Here is a 17,966-nt window from a genome sequence, read left to right as displayed (position 1 = left end):
AGTGAGCCAAGATTGCACCATTGCACTCCACACTGGGCAACAAGAGTGAAACATCTCAAAAAAAGAGAAAAACAAAATGAGAGTTTGCCCTCCATGTGACACATCCATGGGGGCTCTCATTGAGGGATCTGCCCTTCCCAAGGCTCAGAAACTACAAACATGGAGAAGACCCAGGGAATGCCCAGGAGTTCCTACCATTTTCCCAGGGGGACAGTTTCCCAGATGAGCAGCGGACAAGCTGGAACCTATCCCAGCCCAGCCTTGTCCCTGCCCAGACCTGCCAGGCTGTTCACCCACTCGCTGGGTGCTCAGTCCATCCATCCTCCTCAAAGAGTGCCCGCAGAGCGTGTGGCCCCCACGGGTGGTGCCCACGGCCCTCGCTCACACGGCCCTGCTCACCATATTGCCCTGTTCGCCACCCCCATCATCGTAGCTCTTTCTCTCAGTCATCTCTTCAACCATCCAACCTTCTGCCATTAGATGTGGGCATTCACAGGCCCTGAGGTGGGCCTGACCCTCACTCTCTCCCATAGGCTGTGTCCGGCGCTGTCCCTGCTGTGCGGTGGACACCACACAGGCCCCAGGGAAGGTCTGGTGGCGGTTGCGCAAGACCTGCTACCACATCGTGGAGCACAGCTGGTTCGAGACATTCATCATCTTCATGATCCTACTCAGCAGTGGAGCGCTGGTACCCTCCTGGGGATGCAGGGTTGTGGCAGGGACGGCTGGAGGAGGAGGGGAGGGCAGGGAAAGGAGGTCTCCAGCTGGAAAGTCAGGTCAGAAACTGGGGCAGAGCCTCTGCTGAAAATGTGCTCTCCAGACCCCCAGAGCAGGGAACAGCTCACAAACTCTCAACCCCACGGCACGTATGGAGGCCAGAGCAGGAAGGGCTCACAGAGGGCATGTGTCCAGGCCTTTGTCTTTGTTCCACAAAAGGGAAATGATTTGCCCCAGATCACCAGCCTCCTACACCAGAGCTCTGGTGACACACCCACCTGCACACAGCATCAGTGTTCTGTCAAGCTGTCACAGTGCAGTTAACCACGCTGGCTCACAGTACAGTGCTGGCTCCACTGAGTCTATGTCTTCAGGCTGGAGGCTGCGCCCTATAGTTCACACATGATGATGCGTAATCCCCATGACAACTCTTTGTAGAAGCATTAAGTAACTTGCTCAAGGTCCCACCACTCAGGAACCACAGATCTGGCATTTGAACCCAAGCAGTCAGATTCCAGAGTCCTTTGCCTTGACTTCTCATTTGTTCAGTCAGTCTTCTAAAAACCCTCCTTGTATCTAGCTCTATGTATTCAGCCATGTGGGAGCTACAGGAGGAGGCCCCAGCCCTGGCCTCAGGAACACCCAATCAGGGTGATGGGAGGCCAGAGTGGGTGGAGCAATCAGGGTAGTCTCCCTAGAGGAAGCAGATAGAGCTGGACTGTGGAGAATAGGGAGGTGTTGAAGCCAGGAGGAGCAGTGAGGACCTCCAGGGTTGCCCCATCTGGCTCCCAGGCATGCTGCTCTAATCTCTCCAAGCACTTCTAGGAAGAGATGGAACAGCCCTGGAGGGGGTTCTGGAAGGTGCTGGTGAAGCAGGGAGAGGGGTGATTAAGAAGGCAGAAGATGGCCGGGCACAGTGGCTCACACCTGTAATCCCAGCACTTTGGGAGGCCGAGGCAGGCGGATCACCTGAGGTCAGGAGTTCGAGACCAGCCTGGCCAACATGGCAAAAGCCCATCTCTACTAAAAATACAACAATTTGCTGAGTGTGGTGGCACTCACCTGTAATCCAAGCTACTTGGGAGGTTGAGGCATGAGAATTACTTGAACTCGGGAGGCAGAGGTTGCAGTGAGCCGAGGTCACACCACTATACTCCAGCCTGGGGGATACAGTGAGACTCTGTCTGAAAAAAAAAAAAAAGACATGGAAACTTTGCTGGACCAGGGAAAGTAAGAGCCTGTATTGCTGGGGAGGTGAGAACCCCATAGATGAGCAACTAACAGAGAATGCTTTAGACTGCAGAGTGAGAGAAAGGGCACTTTGATCCAAGGCTATGTGCCTCCATTCCATGCTGCCTCCTCCTGTGGGGTTAGACCATGGGGAGGCACTGTGGCTGTCATTTTTAAACCTCTGGGCCTCCCACCCCACCCGATGCTGCCTCGCCTCTGTTCCAGAATGGGCCTGGAGCCATGACTTGCAGCCTGCCTGCTGTTTTACCATTGGCAGCTAGAGCCAAATCTCTGTAGGCTTCAGAGAAAGATGGTTTGACAATATGTTAACTAGTTTTGTTTTTAAACAGCCACAAACAAGGGCAGCCAGAGCCATTTCGTCTGGGCTGTGGAGGGAAAGCTCAGCTTGGCATAAGTGAGGAGGAGTTTTGGCAAGCATCTGGTGAATCTAATCAGGGTAGACAGCCAAGCTCTGTTGTTAAAAAACCACGTCAATGATATATTGAGAAAAAGAGAAATCTGAGTGTGTTATTTAAAGTTGTAAACTTGTTTAACAGAAAGCAAACTATATCCTTTCCAAATTGCTGAGGGAAAATTTTTTTTAAAAAAAGAAAAAACAGAGATCTCACAGCAAAAGGTAGAAGGAAAAAGAAGCAACAAGAAAACAAAATCAGAAAACAAAATAATATAATAGAGGCAAGATCAAACACATGTTTTAATAATAAATGTAACTGGATAAAATTCATCTTTTAAAAGGAAAGGACTCAGGATGGATCAAAAAAAAAAACCTTCAGCCATGTGCTTTCAAATGACAAACCTAAAACAATGCGACTCAGAAATATTAAAAGCCACCAGGCATGGTGGCTCGCGCCTGTAATTTCAGCACTTTGGGAGGCTAAGGCAGGAGGGTGGCTTGAGCCCAGGAGTTCAAGACCAGCCTAAGCAACATAGTAAGACCCCACCTCTACAAAAAGATTTTTAAAAATTAGCTGGGCATGGTGGCATATGCCTGTGGTCCCAGCTACTCAGGAGGCTGAGGGGAGAGGATTGCTTGAGCCTGAGAGGTCAAGGCTGCAGTGAGCCCTGTTCACACCAATGCCTTCCAGCCTGGGTGACCGAGCAAGACCTTGTCTAAAATATATATATATATATATGTATATATATACACACACACACACAAATATATATATATATATAAAATATATGTGTGTATATTATATATTACATGTGTATATATTATATATATAGTGAACTAATAAAGTAGATCAGGCAAATGCAAATTATGACAACAAATTCAGGGTGCTTTTTGTTTGTTGAATTCAATGTTAAAAGCTTGAGATGAGAGAAAGAGGGTCCAACCTATAATAAAAATATAACGATTGGCTGGGTGCAGTGGCTCATGCCTATAATCCTAACACTTTGGGAGGCTGAGACAGGAGGATCGCTTGAGGCCAGGAATTCAAGACCAGCCTAGGCAACATAGTGAGACCCCCATCTCTACAAAAAAGAAAAATTAGCCAAACATGATGGCACATGTCTGTAGTCCCAGTTTCTCAGGAGGCTGAGGTGGGAGGATTGATTGAGCCCAGGAGGTGAAAGCTGCAGTGAGCCATGAACATGCCACTGCATTCCAGCCTGGGTGACAGAGCAAAACCCTGTCTCAAAAAAAGAAAAAAAAATGTGTGTGTATGTGTGTGTGTATAAAATACATATATATTCATACACATAAATATAATATATAAAATCTATAAAAGAATATAGATTTATACAAAATACATAAATATAGATTATACAAAGTATATAAATATATATGTACAAATATATAAATATATAAAATGTATTTGTATATTAAATATATAAATATAAAAAATATATTTGTATATTAAATATATAAATATAATCCATATAAATATATTCACATATGAATATATCTTTATAAAAATATATATTTATATAATTATACATATATGTATTTATATAATTATATACAATTATATAAACCTATATATAAATATAAGTATATATTATAATATATAATATGCACCTATATAAGTGCATATTTATATATTATTATATGTATAAATATTATGTATACATTTGCTTGGGATTGCATAGCACTTCAATATATAAAACCAAAACCACTGGAGAAAAAAACAAACAGGAAAAAGTGACAACAGTGCACTAGTACTGGGAAACTTTGCCATATTTCTATTAGTTCTTGACATTCAAGTGGAAAGAACAAGACAATGAGAGATCTAAATACATATATATATATAAAATAAATTTGACCTAACATAATAATAATAAAGACAATAGCTAACTCTTAAATAGCACTAGCTATATTCCAGATACTGTTTTAAGCATTTTATAAGCATTAATTCATTTAATTCTCACAATAACCCTATGAGATAGGTATTATTATTAATCCTATTTTACAGATATGGAAAGTGCTAGAAATGGAAAAAATAGATAAAAACAAACACCTGGCCGGGCGCGGTGGCTCACGCCTGGAATCCCAGCACTTTGGGAGGCCGAGACGGGTGGATCACGAGGTCAGGAGATCGAGACCATCCTGGCTAACACGGTGAAACCCCGTCTCTACTAAAAATACAAAGAATTAGCGGGGCTTGGTGGCGGGCGCCTGTAGTCCCAGCTACTCCGGAGGCTGAGGCAGGAGAATGGCGTGAACCTGGGAGGCGGAGCTTGCAGTGAGCCGAGATCGCGCCACTGCACTCCAGCCTGGGCGACAGCGAGACTCTATCTCAAAAAAATAAAAAAATAAAAAATAAAAACCACCTAAAATGTAAAAGTCATTCTTAAGTAAACCTTGGATCAAACAGAAAATAGTTTGGTGGTAGTTTAGGGGGGTTCAATTGATTAATTAACTAATTAACAAAAGAAGGCCACTCATGCACCAATGGTGATGATAGTGTGCTATAAATCAAAGATTGTGATTCCATTAATTCTGTCCACGTGAGATCTGGAAAAATAAGAAAAGTGTAGAGGTAGAGAAAAAGCTGTGAATGGTAGAAAAAAACTGGAAAATAACAGTATTGAGAATACTGCATGTGGAATACAGCCAAAGCTGTAATAAAAGGAAAATTCATTACTTAAATACTTTTATTATTAAATAGAAAGAACATAAATTATTTAATTCAAGAAATTAAAAATATAACAAAATAATCTTAAAGAAACCTAGGCAAGTAATTAATAAAATAACCTTTTTTTCTTTGCCCCATATGATCTGCAGTAATAAAAATGTATATTAATGAATTAGAAAATAAATAGTAAAATTGATATAAAATTCCAAAGCTGATTCCTTGAAAATTTAAGGCAACCAAATTGATAACCACTAGCTAATCTAATTTCTCACATCCCCAAAAACAGATCTTTCACATTCTCAAGGAAGAAAATAATTCCAATGCTATTTAAAGTACTCTAGTGCATGAAAAAAGATAGAAAGTCTAGAAATTGTTTTTGGTGTGTGTTTGTGTGTATGTTTGTTCGTTTTTGAGACGGAGTTTTGCTCTTGTTGTTGCCCAGGCTGGACTGCAGTGGCATGATCTCAGCTCACCGCAACCTCCGCCTCCCGGGTTCAAGGATTCTCCTGCCTCAGCCTCTTGAGTAGCTGGGATTACAGGCATGCGCCACCATGCCTGGTTAATTTTGTATTTTTAGTAGAGATGGGGTTTCTCCATGTTTGTCAGGCTGCTCTCGAACTCCCGACCTCAGGTGATCCGCCTGCCTCGGCCTCCCAAAGTGCTGGGATTACAGATGTGAGCCACCGCGCCTGGCCTAGAAATTATTTTTTTAAAAACTAAATAGTGCTGATTTTTAAAACCTCAAGTATACCAAAAGGAAAACCTAGGCCAGTTTTTATGCTTCATACTCCATACTTCTGAATACTGATGCAAAAATCTTAAACAAAATACATGCAGATAGGATCTAGAAATATATTTAAAAGATTGAGTACATCATATGACAAATGTGTCATATCCTAAAATGTGAAAATAGTACCATATTAGGAAAACTATTTGTATTAATAGGACAAAGATAAAAAACCATATAATTATTTCAGTGAATGCCTGATTTTCAGAACTCTGGTAAGAATAGAAATAAAATACGTTTTCTACTACTGAATCCAAAGGACAAAAAAAAAAAAGAAAGAAAATATATTTTCTTAATTTAGTAAAAAACTGACTCTCAAATTAACTTATATCATCATTGGTGGTAAAACCACTTGAAACGTTTTAATTAAAGTGAAGAATAAGAAAAGGATGATTTGCCTTTTTAGCTATTGCTCATTATTTAATAATAGTCTTGAATTACTAGCCAGTGTAATTAATTAAGAAAATTGAACACATGATATAAAAGTTGGGAAATAAAATAATTGAAGTTAATCCAGTCAAGTATAAAAGCAAGAGTTAAAAATGATAGAAATATGTCATTATTTATAGATAATATGATTGCCTAGAAAAGAATTTAAACCTATTTTTAAAACATTATATGGCCAGTTATGAAATAAATATGCAAAGAATTGTTGCTATTATTGTATTATCCTAAGAGAAACCGTTTAGTCACAAGTAACATCTCTCAAATATTTCTTACATGCCAAGCACTGCAAGCATAAAATAACTGGGAATAAATATAATAATGAATGCATAAGAGATTCATGAAGAAAACTGTAAAACTTTGCCAAGCAGTATAAAACAGAACAAATAGATAAACATACCTTCATCTTGGGTAGGAAGACTTCATATTAGTTCCTAAAGTAATTAATAGATTCAATGCGATAACAAGCTTTCAACATTTCTGAGGAAATATGACGAAACATTGGTAAAGTTTATCTTGAAAATTATTTAAATGTCCAGGGAAATTCATGTGATACTAATTCAGGAATAGACAGAGAACAGTAGAACTACATAAACAGATCTGAAGTAGATTTAAGTAAATAAAGAAATGTACTATATGATAAAGTTGACTTTTAATCAGTGGATTTTAAGTGGATTATTTAATAAAGTGTTGGGGCATTTGATGAGCTACATTCTGAAAAAAAGCATTAAAATGGATATTTACTCCTTACCAAACTATATTTAATTTTTAAAATTGTAATGTAAAACAATGAAACCACAAAAATTGTTTTAAGAAGCTCATTTTTTCCTAGCCTCAGAATAGATAAGCGCTTTCTTAATGTAACATCAAAAATTTTACTAAATGAAAATTATAATAAATGATATAATCATATAAAATGATATAATAATTGAAAATGAAGTACATGGAACTTCGGTATGGTAAACAAAAGCAAGTGAGATTTAAAGGCAGGTTGGTGTCACAAACCAGGTTGGTGTTACCAAAGAGTTAATGTCCCCAAATAAACCAGACACTCAAGTACAAAAATAGGCAAAGGATATGAACAGGTAATTCCCAAAAGGAACATGGCAAATATCCAAAGAAAAGATGTCAGCATCACTCCTAATAAAATAAATGAAAATGTAACAAAATACAAGTTTCTTTCATTAGGCTGGGAAAAGTGAAAAAGGAGAAATGACAGCAATGTCGGTGGGGTGGTAGAGAAGAGCCCCCTTCCTGCCCCGGAGATGGAGTGTCAATTGGTGTTCCCTTCGGAGGGGTCCATTCCCAGTCTGTACCAAAAGCACACCTTTGCCCTGGCAACCCAATTTATCCTCAACAATCCCCTGTCCACTGCAACTTTATTTCCACTAGGGATAAACTGTAAAGAACCGAAATGTGCATTATTAATAAGGTTATTGGCTAAATAAATAGCAGCGTATGCAAATAATGAAATATCATGCAGCCTTTTAAAATAGTGATAGATATTATTGCATGTATTCATATTATTGAGTGGATAACTGTTCACAACATATTGTTTAATGGAGAAAGTAATTTCAAGGCAAATATTTAGTGTGTCTCATAAAATTGTGGTGATTGTGTGTATGTGCACACACATACACACTGTCAAAAATAATACTCACCTAAATGTTAGCAGTGGTTACTTTGGTGTCATGAAATTAGAGATGCCTTTTACTTTCTTTTTTATAATTTCCATATTATTTAATTTTTATAAGATGCACCCATTTTTATATTCAGAAAAAAATACAATACACCTACTTTTTTTTTATCTTGAACAACTCCCAAAATCCATTTTGGGACCTGAATTATCCTGTTGTGCCATCTACAGTGCCTCAGTGGGCCATATGTATGCCTCAGTAGTGCCAACAGCGCTGGTCTCTTGGGTCACTGTCGCTCACAGAGGCCCTGAAGTCGGACAGGAAGGCCCAGGAGTGGCAGGTGGAGGCAGCTCCCCCAGAGCCCTAGTGACGTGTTCAGTTGCCTAGACAGGAGCCTCATAGCACAGTCTGGACAGAGAGAGAAACAGGAACAAATCAGTAGGCTGGAGGTAGAAGCCATCTGGGAGCCACTGGAGTTTCTCTGTTAGCTCAGGAATTTGAGTTGAGGCAGAAATGAGGAGGTGGAGAAAGACTTACAACTCCTAGGATTTGGAAAACTTTGACTCCTAGAGCCTGAGAATTGCAGGACATTTGACTTTATCTACACCTGTTGTTCCTAAACACCACATCTACAAATGACTTTTAATATAGTTTCTTTAACATTCAGCTTTACATCAACTCTCACTGGTTTTTGCTTATTTAAATAAATGTTGTGTAAAGTGTAACTTAATCATTATTATTAATTGGAAACCAATATTTTTCCCACAAAAAGCAAGTAACCATATAAAGTAAACAAAGCTAAAGCAAAATGGAGTGAAAACAAAAATATTTTATGTTGTTTCCAGCAGAAAGCTGTGAGCTGAGCCTGCATACCCTCTCTCCTTGTTAAAATGGCAAGTTTTAGAAAGGCCTAGCCCAAAACTCAGACTTGATCTTCATTGCTAAGGGAGAGGGGGTCACACCATTCACTCTACCTTATTATCCATCTACCACTTAAGGCCATCTCATGGCCTGCCCGTGGCACAGGCCCCACTTGGAAGGCATTCTCATCTAGTTCCTGTTTCTGCTCTCCCCGGAAGGGAGGTGTTGTCAGAAACGGTGCCTAGGCCAGGCACAGTGGCTCATGCCTGTAATCCCAACACTTTAGGAGGCCAAGGTGGGCGGATCACAAGGTCAGGAGCTCGAGACCAGCCTGACCAACATGGTGAAACCCCGTCCCTACTAAAAATACAAAAAATTAGCTGGTGTGGCGGCAGGCATCTATAATCCCAGCTACTCAGGAGGCTGAAGCAGGAGAATCACTTGAACCCGGGAGGCGGAGGTTGCAGTGAGCCAAGATTGCACCACTGCACTCCAGCCTGGGCAACAGAGCAAGACTGTCTCAAAAAGAAAAAAAAAGAAAAAATGGAAAGAAACGGTGCCTGGTGCAGGGTGGAATCGGCAGTGGTCCAGGCTTCATGTCCACCTTGTCTGGCCTTGTCTGCAGGCCTTCGAGGACATCTACCTAGAGGAGCGGAAGACCATCAAGGTTCTGCTTGAGTATGCCGACAAGATGTTCACATATGTCTTCGTGCTGGAGATGCTGCTCAAGTGGGTGGCCTACGGCTTCAAGAAGTACTTCACCAATGCCTGGTGCTGGCTCGACTTCCTCATCGTAGACGTGAGTGTGGGCACCCGAAGGGAACAGGAAGGAGAAACCCATTGCCGGTGCGGGAGAAGGAGCTGAGGCGGAGGGCCCAGTGGGAGCCAGTAGGCTGAAGGGGAGGCGCGCAGCAGTGCTGTGGGGCAGGCAGAGAGGAAGGAGGACGTAAGTCTGAGTGACCCAGGCCTTGTCCTCAGGTTCCCAGGCTCAGAGGAAGAGAAGAAATAGGAGACAGGGTCCTGCCTCTAGAGCCCCCAGTTTGGAGCCACAGCAGGCGGAGACCTAGGCCCCTGCTTCTAGGGAAGATCGTTCAAGAGTAGTCAAGGTAGGGGCGTGAGCCAGGGCAGGGGCTTGGGGCTCAGGGTCCAGAAAGGGAAGTGAGCAGACAAGCTTGTGCTCTAGCACACACCACAGCAGACTGTAAGTGTCCATCAGGCCCACTAGACAGATGGTCATTTCAGAGCCTCCATGCACACACGAGGAGGACAGTTCAGAGCCTCCATGCACACATGCCAGGGGGAGAAGGCTACTGAAGGGATGCTGGGCAGGCAGGGGAGAGCCTCCAGCTCAGGGAGAAGGTACTGACTGGGGAGGATGAGACAGGGGTGGAGTCACCCCAGAGGAGGAGGAAGCCATGAACACTGGCTCAGGGGCTCTGGGTTGCTGCCCTAGATGATCAGGTAGCTGTGAGGGCTGCCTGCCCAGGCTATGTCCAAGGAGGGCCTGGGGCAGGAGGTCAGCATGGCTTCTGAACACCCGGTTGGCAGATGGAGTGTGAAGCCCCTGCCCCACAGCTACCCAGGCCCCAAGACACATTTGGGTGCCAGGCAGCATGAATGAGGGGTCTGACAGGGGGCCTGACGTCAGTCAAGAGGGAGAGTAGCCAAGCAGAGAGAAACGGGTCGGTGCAGGGCAGGCCTGGGTTTGCACTCACTGAGGACAAAGGAAGCGAAGGCAAAGGGTGCAGGTGGAGGGACCTCTCTAGGGGATCGAACAAAACAGAGTAGGGGTCAGGATCTGCAGACTGAAAAGGGCTTTCCAGAAGGCGCCGGGTTTGCTGATGGCTTCCAGCCTTGACATCGGGTTCTGCATACCAGCAGGAGCTATCCTTCCTGTGGTTACAGAACAGGCTCAGGCCTGTGCAGTCTCCATACCCCACTCAGAGGCTCAGCCCCCAGTAAGCCTGGCCAGAGTCCAGGTTGAAGCTACCAAGGCTGGGTGGGAGGTCAAACTGTGGGTGGCCATGGTGGCAGAGCGCCTTGGGCTAGAGGGGATGCACAGAGACGCAGATCCAGGTCCTTGGACCTGCAGTCCAGGCCTCTTCCTATCACCCCAGGTGGCCAAGAGGATGCTAATGCTGGGGTGAGGGGGTGCTGGGGTGGAAGGGGGGCAAGGAGAGCTCTAGACACACTGGACTGCCTGGCCCAGCCCTCAGAGCCTCCCTGAGATGAAGGAGAGGCCCCTGAGGCCTCCCCATTGAGGGACTGTGGGAGGGCCTGGGATCCTGGCAGCTCAGCCCTGAGGATCCCTGACCCGCTGTTCCTGCAGCATCTTGGGCAGTTGGGCCTGCTGAGGGTCTCCCACAAGGCAAGCCAGAGGGACTCTGCGCAGACTTCTGGGGAAACCCACCCACCAGCCGCTGGCCACCTTGGGGAGCTCAGAGCCAAGGCAAGGGAAAGGGAATCGGCAGTGCTTCCCTGCTCAGGCCCAAGAGAGAAGGAGCCTGTGGAGAAGGCAACCAAGGCTCACAGCAGGGAGGGGCCTTGCCCAAGGCTGAGCAGAAGGAAGTGGGTGTGGAATCCAGCTTTCTTGGCACTGGCCACGCTGCTGTGCCCCTACCCCATCCGCATGCTTCATGGGAAAGTTTGTCTCAGGCCTCAGAGTCTAGGGAAGGATGTTTCCAAGATGAATTCTGCATTATTTTTCAATAAATGCAGTTGGGTCTCTACTGTGTGCAAGTACTGTTATGGTGCTGGGGATCTTAGGGAACAAAATAAAAACTCTTCCCCACATGGAGGAAGGTGGCTACAAACAATCAGCATAATCAATAAGCCACTTTTACATTATGTGAAAAAGTGGTATCTACCATGGAGCAAAGAGAACTTGGGAAGGGAAGGGGTGGGGTGGAGGGGAAGGTGCAGGTTACCACTTTTAAATAGGATGATCAGAGTAGGCGCACTTTGGTCACATTTGAGCGGGTTTGAAGTTGGGGTTAGCCAGGCCAATGTCTGGCAGACGTTCCAAGCAGAGATTGGAAGAGCAGTGCAAGGACCGTGTGTCGGGAGCATGCCTGGCATACTGGGGGAAATGCAGGGAGGCTAGAGCCACTGAGCAGAAGGAAGCGCAGGAGATGAGGCCAGATTGCAGGGGATGCAGCCAGATTGCTGCCTTTGAAAAAATATGGCCTTTGATTTAGAATGAAATGGGGGTAGGGGGGCGGAATTGGAAGGCTCTGAACAGAAGAGTGCCGTGAACTGACTGATTTTCTTTAGGGAGTCACTCGGTCATGGAGGCCGGGGTAGAGAGGGATGAATAGAAGCAGGGAGAAGAGTTAGGAGGCTCAGGCCATGATCCAGTGAGAGACGATGGTGGCCGGGCCAGGACGGTGGCAGTAGAAGTGGTGAGAAACACTTGGACTTCAGATGTATTTTGAAGGCAGAGCCAACAGGAAATCCTGATGGGTTAGACACAGGGTGTCAGAGACAGAGAGGAGGCAGGGAGGACGCCAAGAATTGTGGCCTGCACAGCTGGAGGGATGGAGTTGCCGTCACCTGAGATGGGAAGCCATCGCCGGGGCAGACGGGGCAAGCTTTGGAAAGAACAGAGACCGCAAGGCAGCCTATTAGGAACTGGGCAGGCAGACCAGCTGGACCTGGCACTCTGGAGGTCCTGCCCTCAAGGAGAGGTCCCTGAGAGATGCCCCCCGACTCTCCAGGATTGGGGGCCAATAGCCCAGCATCCTTGAGGGGTGAGTGGGGGCAACACAGAAATCAGTCTGGCGTGTCTTCCTTCCCCTGGCCTCTTTGCTCAGCTCCCTCCCCTGGTGCTGCCAAGCCCGGGAGGAGGCTGTGGGAGTCAGGCCTCTGCCCCCAGCCTCTCCGAACCCCAGGCTGGCCTGAGCACCCGGGTGGTGCTAATGGTGACTGCAGGGGAGGTCAGGCAGCAGGCCATTTTTGGCCTGTGATCACAGGCCAGCGGTGAAGTAAGAAGGGAGTGGATGCCCATGGAGCTTTAGAAGGATAAAATCCACAGAGTGGAAGTGCCCTCAGGGGCTGGGGCAGAGGGAACAGAGAGCTGAGGCTCCTGGTGCCACCCAGTCCCCATCTTCTTTGAAGATGTTGAAATGCTGCACAGTCTGGCCTTGGGGAAACGCCCCACGATTGTCTATTTGCTCCTACTTAACCCAGGACTGCCTCTTCTTCCCCAAAAAAGGCTTCTTTGGCGAAGGAGACAGGTCCAAGAATTGGAATTGAAGGAAAGAATGTGGAGACCAAAAGCCCAGGCTTTGTGTCCCTGCTCTGCCATACCAGCAGAGTGGCTTTGGAATTCAGTTTTCCCATCTGTAGAATAGAGGTGGCGCATCGCAACATCGCAGGGTTAGTAGGGTTATTACAGAGCATGTATGTGAAGTACACATAGCAGCCTCTCAGTAAAGGCCCAGAAGCCAGGATACTCTTGGGCTTGCCCCAGCTTGGGCTCTGGGAAGCCTGGCCCAGTGCAGAGCTGGCCTGTGATGACAGTCCACCCCAGGACTAATAAAGAGTGGACACAGGAGGCCTGTGGCTCTCTCGCACCCAGCACCGTCTTAGTGGGACCAGAAGGCCTACTGTCTGTCCCCAACAGTGGGGAGCTGTTCCCATCCTCCCCATTTCTACTTTGCCTCCCCCAGGTCTCTCTGGTCAGCCTGGTGGCCAACACCCTGGGCTTTGCCGAGATGGGCCCCATCAAGTCACTGCGGACGCTGCGTGCACTCCGTCCTCTGAGAGCTCTGTCACGATTTGAGGGCATGAGGGTAAGAGAGGTGGCTGCCTTCCCACCAGGGAGTGGGAGGCGGTCCCACAGGCCCAGCCCACTGCCACCCAGGACCCCTCCCTGTGCTTCTGATGTCCTATGGCCGTGGAGACTGTGGCCGAGGCTGACTTGGTAGGAGCATGGCCCAGAACCTCCAGGAGAGGCACAGCTGGGCATGGAGGCACCCTGAGGCTAGGCAGCTGTGAGAACCCACCTCCAGGGCTCACCCTCAAGCCCTGTGAGCTCCCATGAGGGCTGGGAGAGCACCGGACAAAGGAGAGGAAGCAAGACTTGCTGGGCACAGGGGTCTCAGCTACACCCCAGGCCACTGGCACCAGGGCCCCTGTGCTTCTGCTGTCCTGCAGGGCTGCATCTCTGTGTGCCCACTCTGTGTGCCCACTCTGTGTGCCCCTCTGCATGCCCTGCCTCCTGGCAGACACAGGCTGCCAGCCCTCTGTCTGTGATGGCCAGTGGGGCTGTGGTCGGGAGGGTGAGGGAAGAGGCATAGAGCAAGCTGCATTCCCAGCATCAGACAGGGGCTGTGGTCGGGAGGGTGAGGGAAGAGGCATAGAGCAAGCTGCATTCCCAGCATCAGACAGAGGCTGTAGAGGAAATAACCACGTGCTTAGTGATCTCCTGTGCACCATTTTCCTAGTGCAGATCCCTATGCATTTTTCAAGTCACCACATTTTACCAAAGAATGAGAGCAGATAAGGCAGACTTGAAAGCGCACCAAGAAAAACATCAGCCGTGATATATAGCAAGAAAACAAATACACATGTGTGTGTTTGTGTTTACTTGCGTGGGATATTTTTTTTAACAAAACATACCAGTTCTGTGTGGCTTCAGAAGACATGTTTGTTTGTCTCTCACTGACCCAGCAGGCACCATCACACAGCTCAGCCTACCAGTTGGTTGATGGCTTTGAACCTTGCCCACACCGCCAATCCATGGAGACACACATAGCTTATTCCTGGTGGGAAACCATCCACAAGATAATGTTCAGAGTTAAATGTCTCTTTGGGAGCAAGGACATTTGATTCCAGAGGGACGCAATGAGACACTAGGTGCCAGGAATGCCTCTGCGGTGGCCATTGGCCACAGAGCCAGCCAAGGGCAAACTCCCAGGGCTTCCCCACCTCACTCTACACCCAGATGTTTGGTGTCCTAAGAGCTGGGTTTTCCACCCTGTTCCAGGGTTCAGCGTGCCTGCTGGGGAACAGCATCCCCCAACCTGGCATCTGGCCCACACCACACAGTCCACACCAGCTTCACCTCCAGTCTGTGTGGCACATGTGTTCCTGGTGCATGGACAGCTGGGGACTTGGTCCATGAGTGGGGTGGAGGGTCCCAAATGCCTCTATTAGGGAATCTTCTCCAGGGTGCTGTGAGTTTAGATGCAGAGCATGAGGCTGTGGCTCCATGGGATCTGAGAGCCCCTCACTGGGGAGCGGGTATCACAGGGAGTACCCATGCCACCTGCTTTCTGGCTCTGCTCTTATGGGAGCACTGGAGAACTGCCACAACCCCCTCTAGACACTGCACTGAGGTCCCATCCATCCCAATAGCAACAACCTAAAATAAACCAGAATTTAGCTCCAAAAATGTAAGGACTCATGGGATTGTTAGGAAACCCAGTCTTGGGGACATGTTTTGAGAGGTCCTTTCCCATCAAGTTGCTGGTATCCTCAATCAGCACACACCTTGGTGAAAATCAGATTTTAAAGAACACAGATTCAGGGCAGGGCCAAGAAGGGAAACCAGATGTTCTGAAGCCACACCAGACTCTAGGGTGCACTCCCCTCACTCCCCACCAGGGCTTCTAGCCATGGAGCTGGCCTCTCCCTTGAGTGTGGGATCTGCACACCCACCTGCACAGCCCCCTGCAGCCAGGGAGTTCATTCTTTCTTGGGGTGGCAGGGGGTCTTGAAAAGGGCATGTGCTCTGGGCACCCCCAGGAACTGAGCCACTTCTCTGTCCACTTGAGGTGGTGGTCAATGCCCTGGTGGGCGCCATCCCGTCCATCATGAACGTCCTCCTCGTCTGCCTCATCTTCTGGCTCATCTTCAGCATCATGGGCGTGAACCTCTTTGCGGGGAAGTTTGGGAGGTGCATCAACCAGACAGAGGGAGACTTGCCTTTGAACTACACCATCGTGAACAACAAGAGCCAGTGTGAGTCCTTGAACTTGACCGGAGAATTGTACTGGACCAAGGTGAAAGTCAACTTTGACAACGTGGGGGCCGGGTACCTGGCCCTTCTGCAGGTGGTAAGTCCTGGAGAGAAGGGACTTCCTTCCTCCCAATGGCTGTTGAGCAGCATGGCCATCACCCATGATGTGGGCAGGAAGAGGGGGCAGTGGGGCCATGCTGGATCTTCATAGGAGGATCACAGTGCCCAAAGGAGGCTCAGGACTCTCCAGGGATTTGGCTCCTTGGGAAATCCCCAGACTTTCAGTTCTAGAACCGATACCATGTTCTCCAAATTGCAGAGTATGGGGATGGTCTGTGGTGCTGTAGAACCGACTCCCAGCCAGTAGTCAAGTTGATCTCTTCAGGCTATCAGTTAGGCAGTATGATGGCACAGATTAAAAAATGAAAGACCATAGACTACTCAGGAACTGAACTATTAGCAAAGTTGTGACTGTGGCCACCCTCTGTTATAAAATATAGTGTTAGCTCTTGTGTTGTTTAAAAGAACATATTTCCAGCCAGACGCAGTGGCTCACACTTGTAATCCCAGCACTTTGGGAGGCCGAGGTGGGCAGATCACAAGTTCAGGAGATTGAGACCATCCTGGCTAACACGGTGAAAACCTGTCTCTACTAAAAATACAAAAAAAATTAGCTGGGCGTGGTGGTGGGCACCCGTAGTCCCAGCTACTCGGGAGGCTGAGGCAGGAGAATGGCGTGAACCCGGGAGGTGGAGCTTGCTGTGAGCTGAGATCTCACCACTGCACTCCAGCCTGGGCGACAGAGCCAGACTCCATCAAAAAAAAAAAAAAAAAAAAAAAAAAGAATATATTTCCATCTTTGATGTGCAATGTTTAAGCACGCACAATCCTTCTAGGGTTTCCACTGATTTTGTGAGTATGGTGGCTTCAGTGATTATCACACATTCCATAAAATTAACCTACCATTAGCCTTGACCAATGCAATAGAACCACAATGCATAGAGCTGCAACTTGCTTGTCTTGCTGTTCCAATCTCAAGCCCAGACACCTGTCTCTGGTCCCCAAAGCAGAGGAAAACTCAGCAGACTTTCTATATCCACTGGAAACTTTATATATCCACTCACACCTCCACCCATCCCTTAAGCCCCAGTGGTAGTCCCACAAAGACTCCCCTGCACTGCCTAGTGGAGAATGGTAGATTAGCACCAAACCCAAGGAGCTGTCTATTCCTGCAATTGTCCCTCAGAATGTCAGAACTTTGGAAGAAAAGGCCTCCTTTTGTAGACTAAGAACTGCTGACCTTTCCAGACAAAGCCACTCGGTGTTTGGGAAGAATTCAGTCATAAATATCTCATACCCTTGGGTGGTCCCCAGCAGTTTCCAAAGTATTTGCGGGGCTATCTTTATAGGCAAGGGCCTCTTGGTACAGGGAGCTGGAGTAGCTTGCCTACTATGGGCGGCCTCAGCTTCCCCTTCTGCCCTACCTGCCTCATAAGAATTCTTCGACACAGGAAGTTTGTGTACCTGAGCTTGTGCTTAGAAAGGAAGCTTGGGGGCCAGGCATGGTAGCTCATACTTGTAATCCCAGCACTTTGGGAGCCTGAGGTAGGTGGATCATTTGAGGTCAGGAGTTCGAGACCAGCCTGGCCAATGTGGTGAAACCCCATCTCTACTAAAAATACAAAAATTAGCTGGTAGTGGTGTTGCACGCCTGTAATCCCAGCTATTCAGGAGGCTGAGGCAGGAGAATCACTTGAACTCGGGAGGCAGAGGTTGCAGTGAGCTGAGATCACACCATTGCATTCCAGCCTGGGCAACAGAGAGAGACTCTGTCTCAAAAAAAAAAAAAAGGCTCGGGGCAGGACTGGATTTGGCCAAAAACACAAATGAGACTTCACTGGGGAGTCAGTCTCACACCAAGCGTGTCTCTTGGGCTCTTTCTGCATAGCAGCCCAGACTAGGGCAGACAATGCCACCAGCACTAGGGCCCCCTCTGGTTCAGCCTCCCTCTTTACTCCCTTGGTGTGGTATGCTGGAGCCAGCTTGTGCCAGCTCACAAGAGCTCATTGTTACATTTTCAGAAATTTTGCAAGCTGTTTATTAAATACAGCCATTATAAAAAATTGAATTCTATAAACTTATAAAATTAACTAAATGATATTAAAACAAAGGTAATAAATACTCAAGATTCATCATTACATTTTAGTATTATCATCTATGCTCTT

General features: G+C 46.8%; 1 protein-coding gene across 9 annotated transcripts in view; it reads left to right on the top strand.

Annotated features, from left to right (window-relative positions):
• Positions 1 to 17,966, top strand: part of SCN5A (sodium voltage-gated channel alpha subunit 5) — a 101,626-nt gene that overhangs the window by 73,703 nt on the left and 9,957 nt on the right. For all 9 annotated transcript variants that reach the window (NR_176299.1, NM_000335.5, NM_198056.3 and 6 more), the window contains 4 exons: positions 534 to 688; positions 9,403 to 9,576; positions 13,448 to 13,570; positions 15,557 to 15,838. Coding sequence is in view for 8 of the 9 variants with exons in the window: in NM_000335.5 (NP_000326.2) it covers positions 534 to 688; positions 9,403 to 9,576; positions 13,448 to 13,570; positions 15,557 to 15,838 (734 nt within the window). In the remaining variant the exon portion in view is untranslated. The remainder of the gene's footprint in view (positions 1 to 533; positions 689 to 9,402; positions 9,577 to 13,447; positions 13,571 to 15,556; positions 15,839 to 17,966) is intronic.

Source organism: Homo sapiens, chromosome 3 (genome assembly GCF_000001405.40).
Source record: "Homo sapiens chromosome 3, GRCh38.p14 Primary Assembly".
NCBI lineage: Eukaryota > Metazoa > Chordata > Mammalia > Primates > Hominidae > Homo > Homo sapiens.
This window is presented reverse-complemented; position numbering and strand designations above follow the sequence as displayed.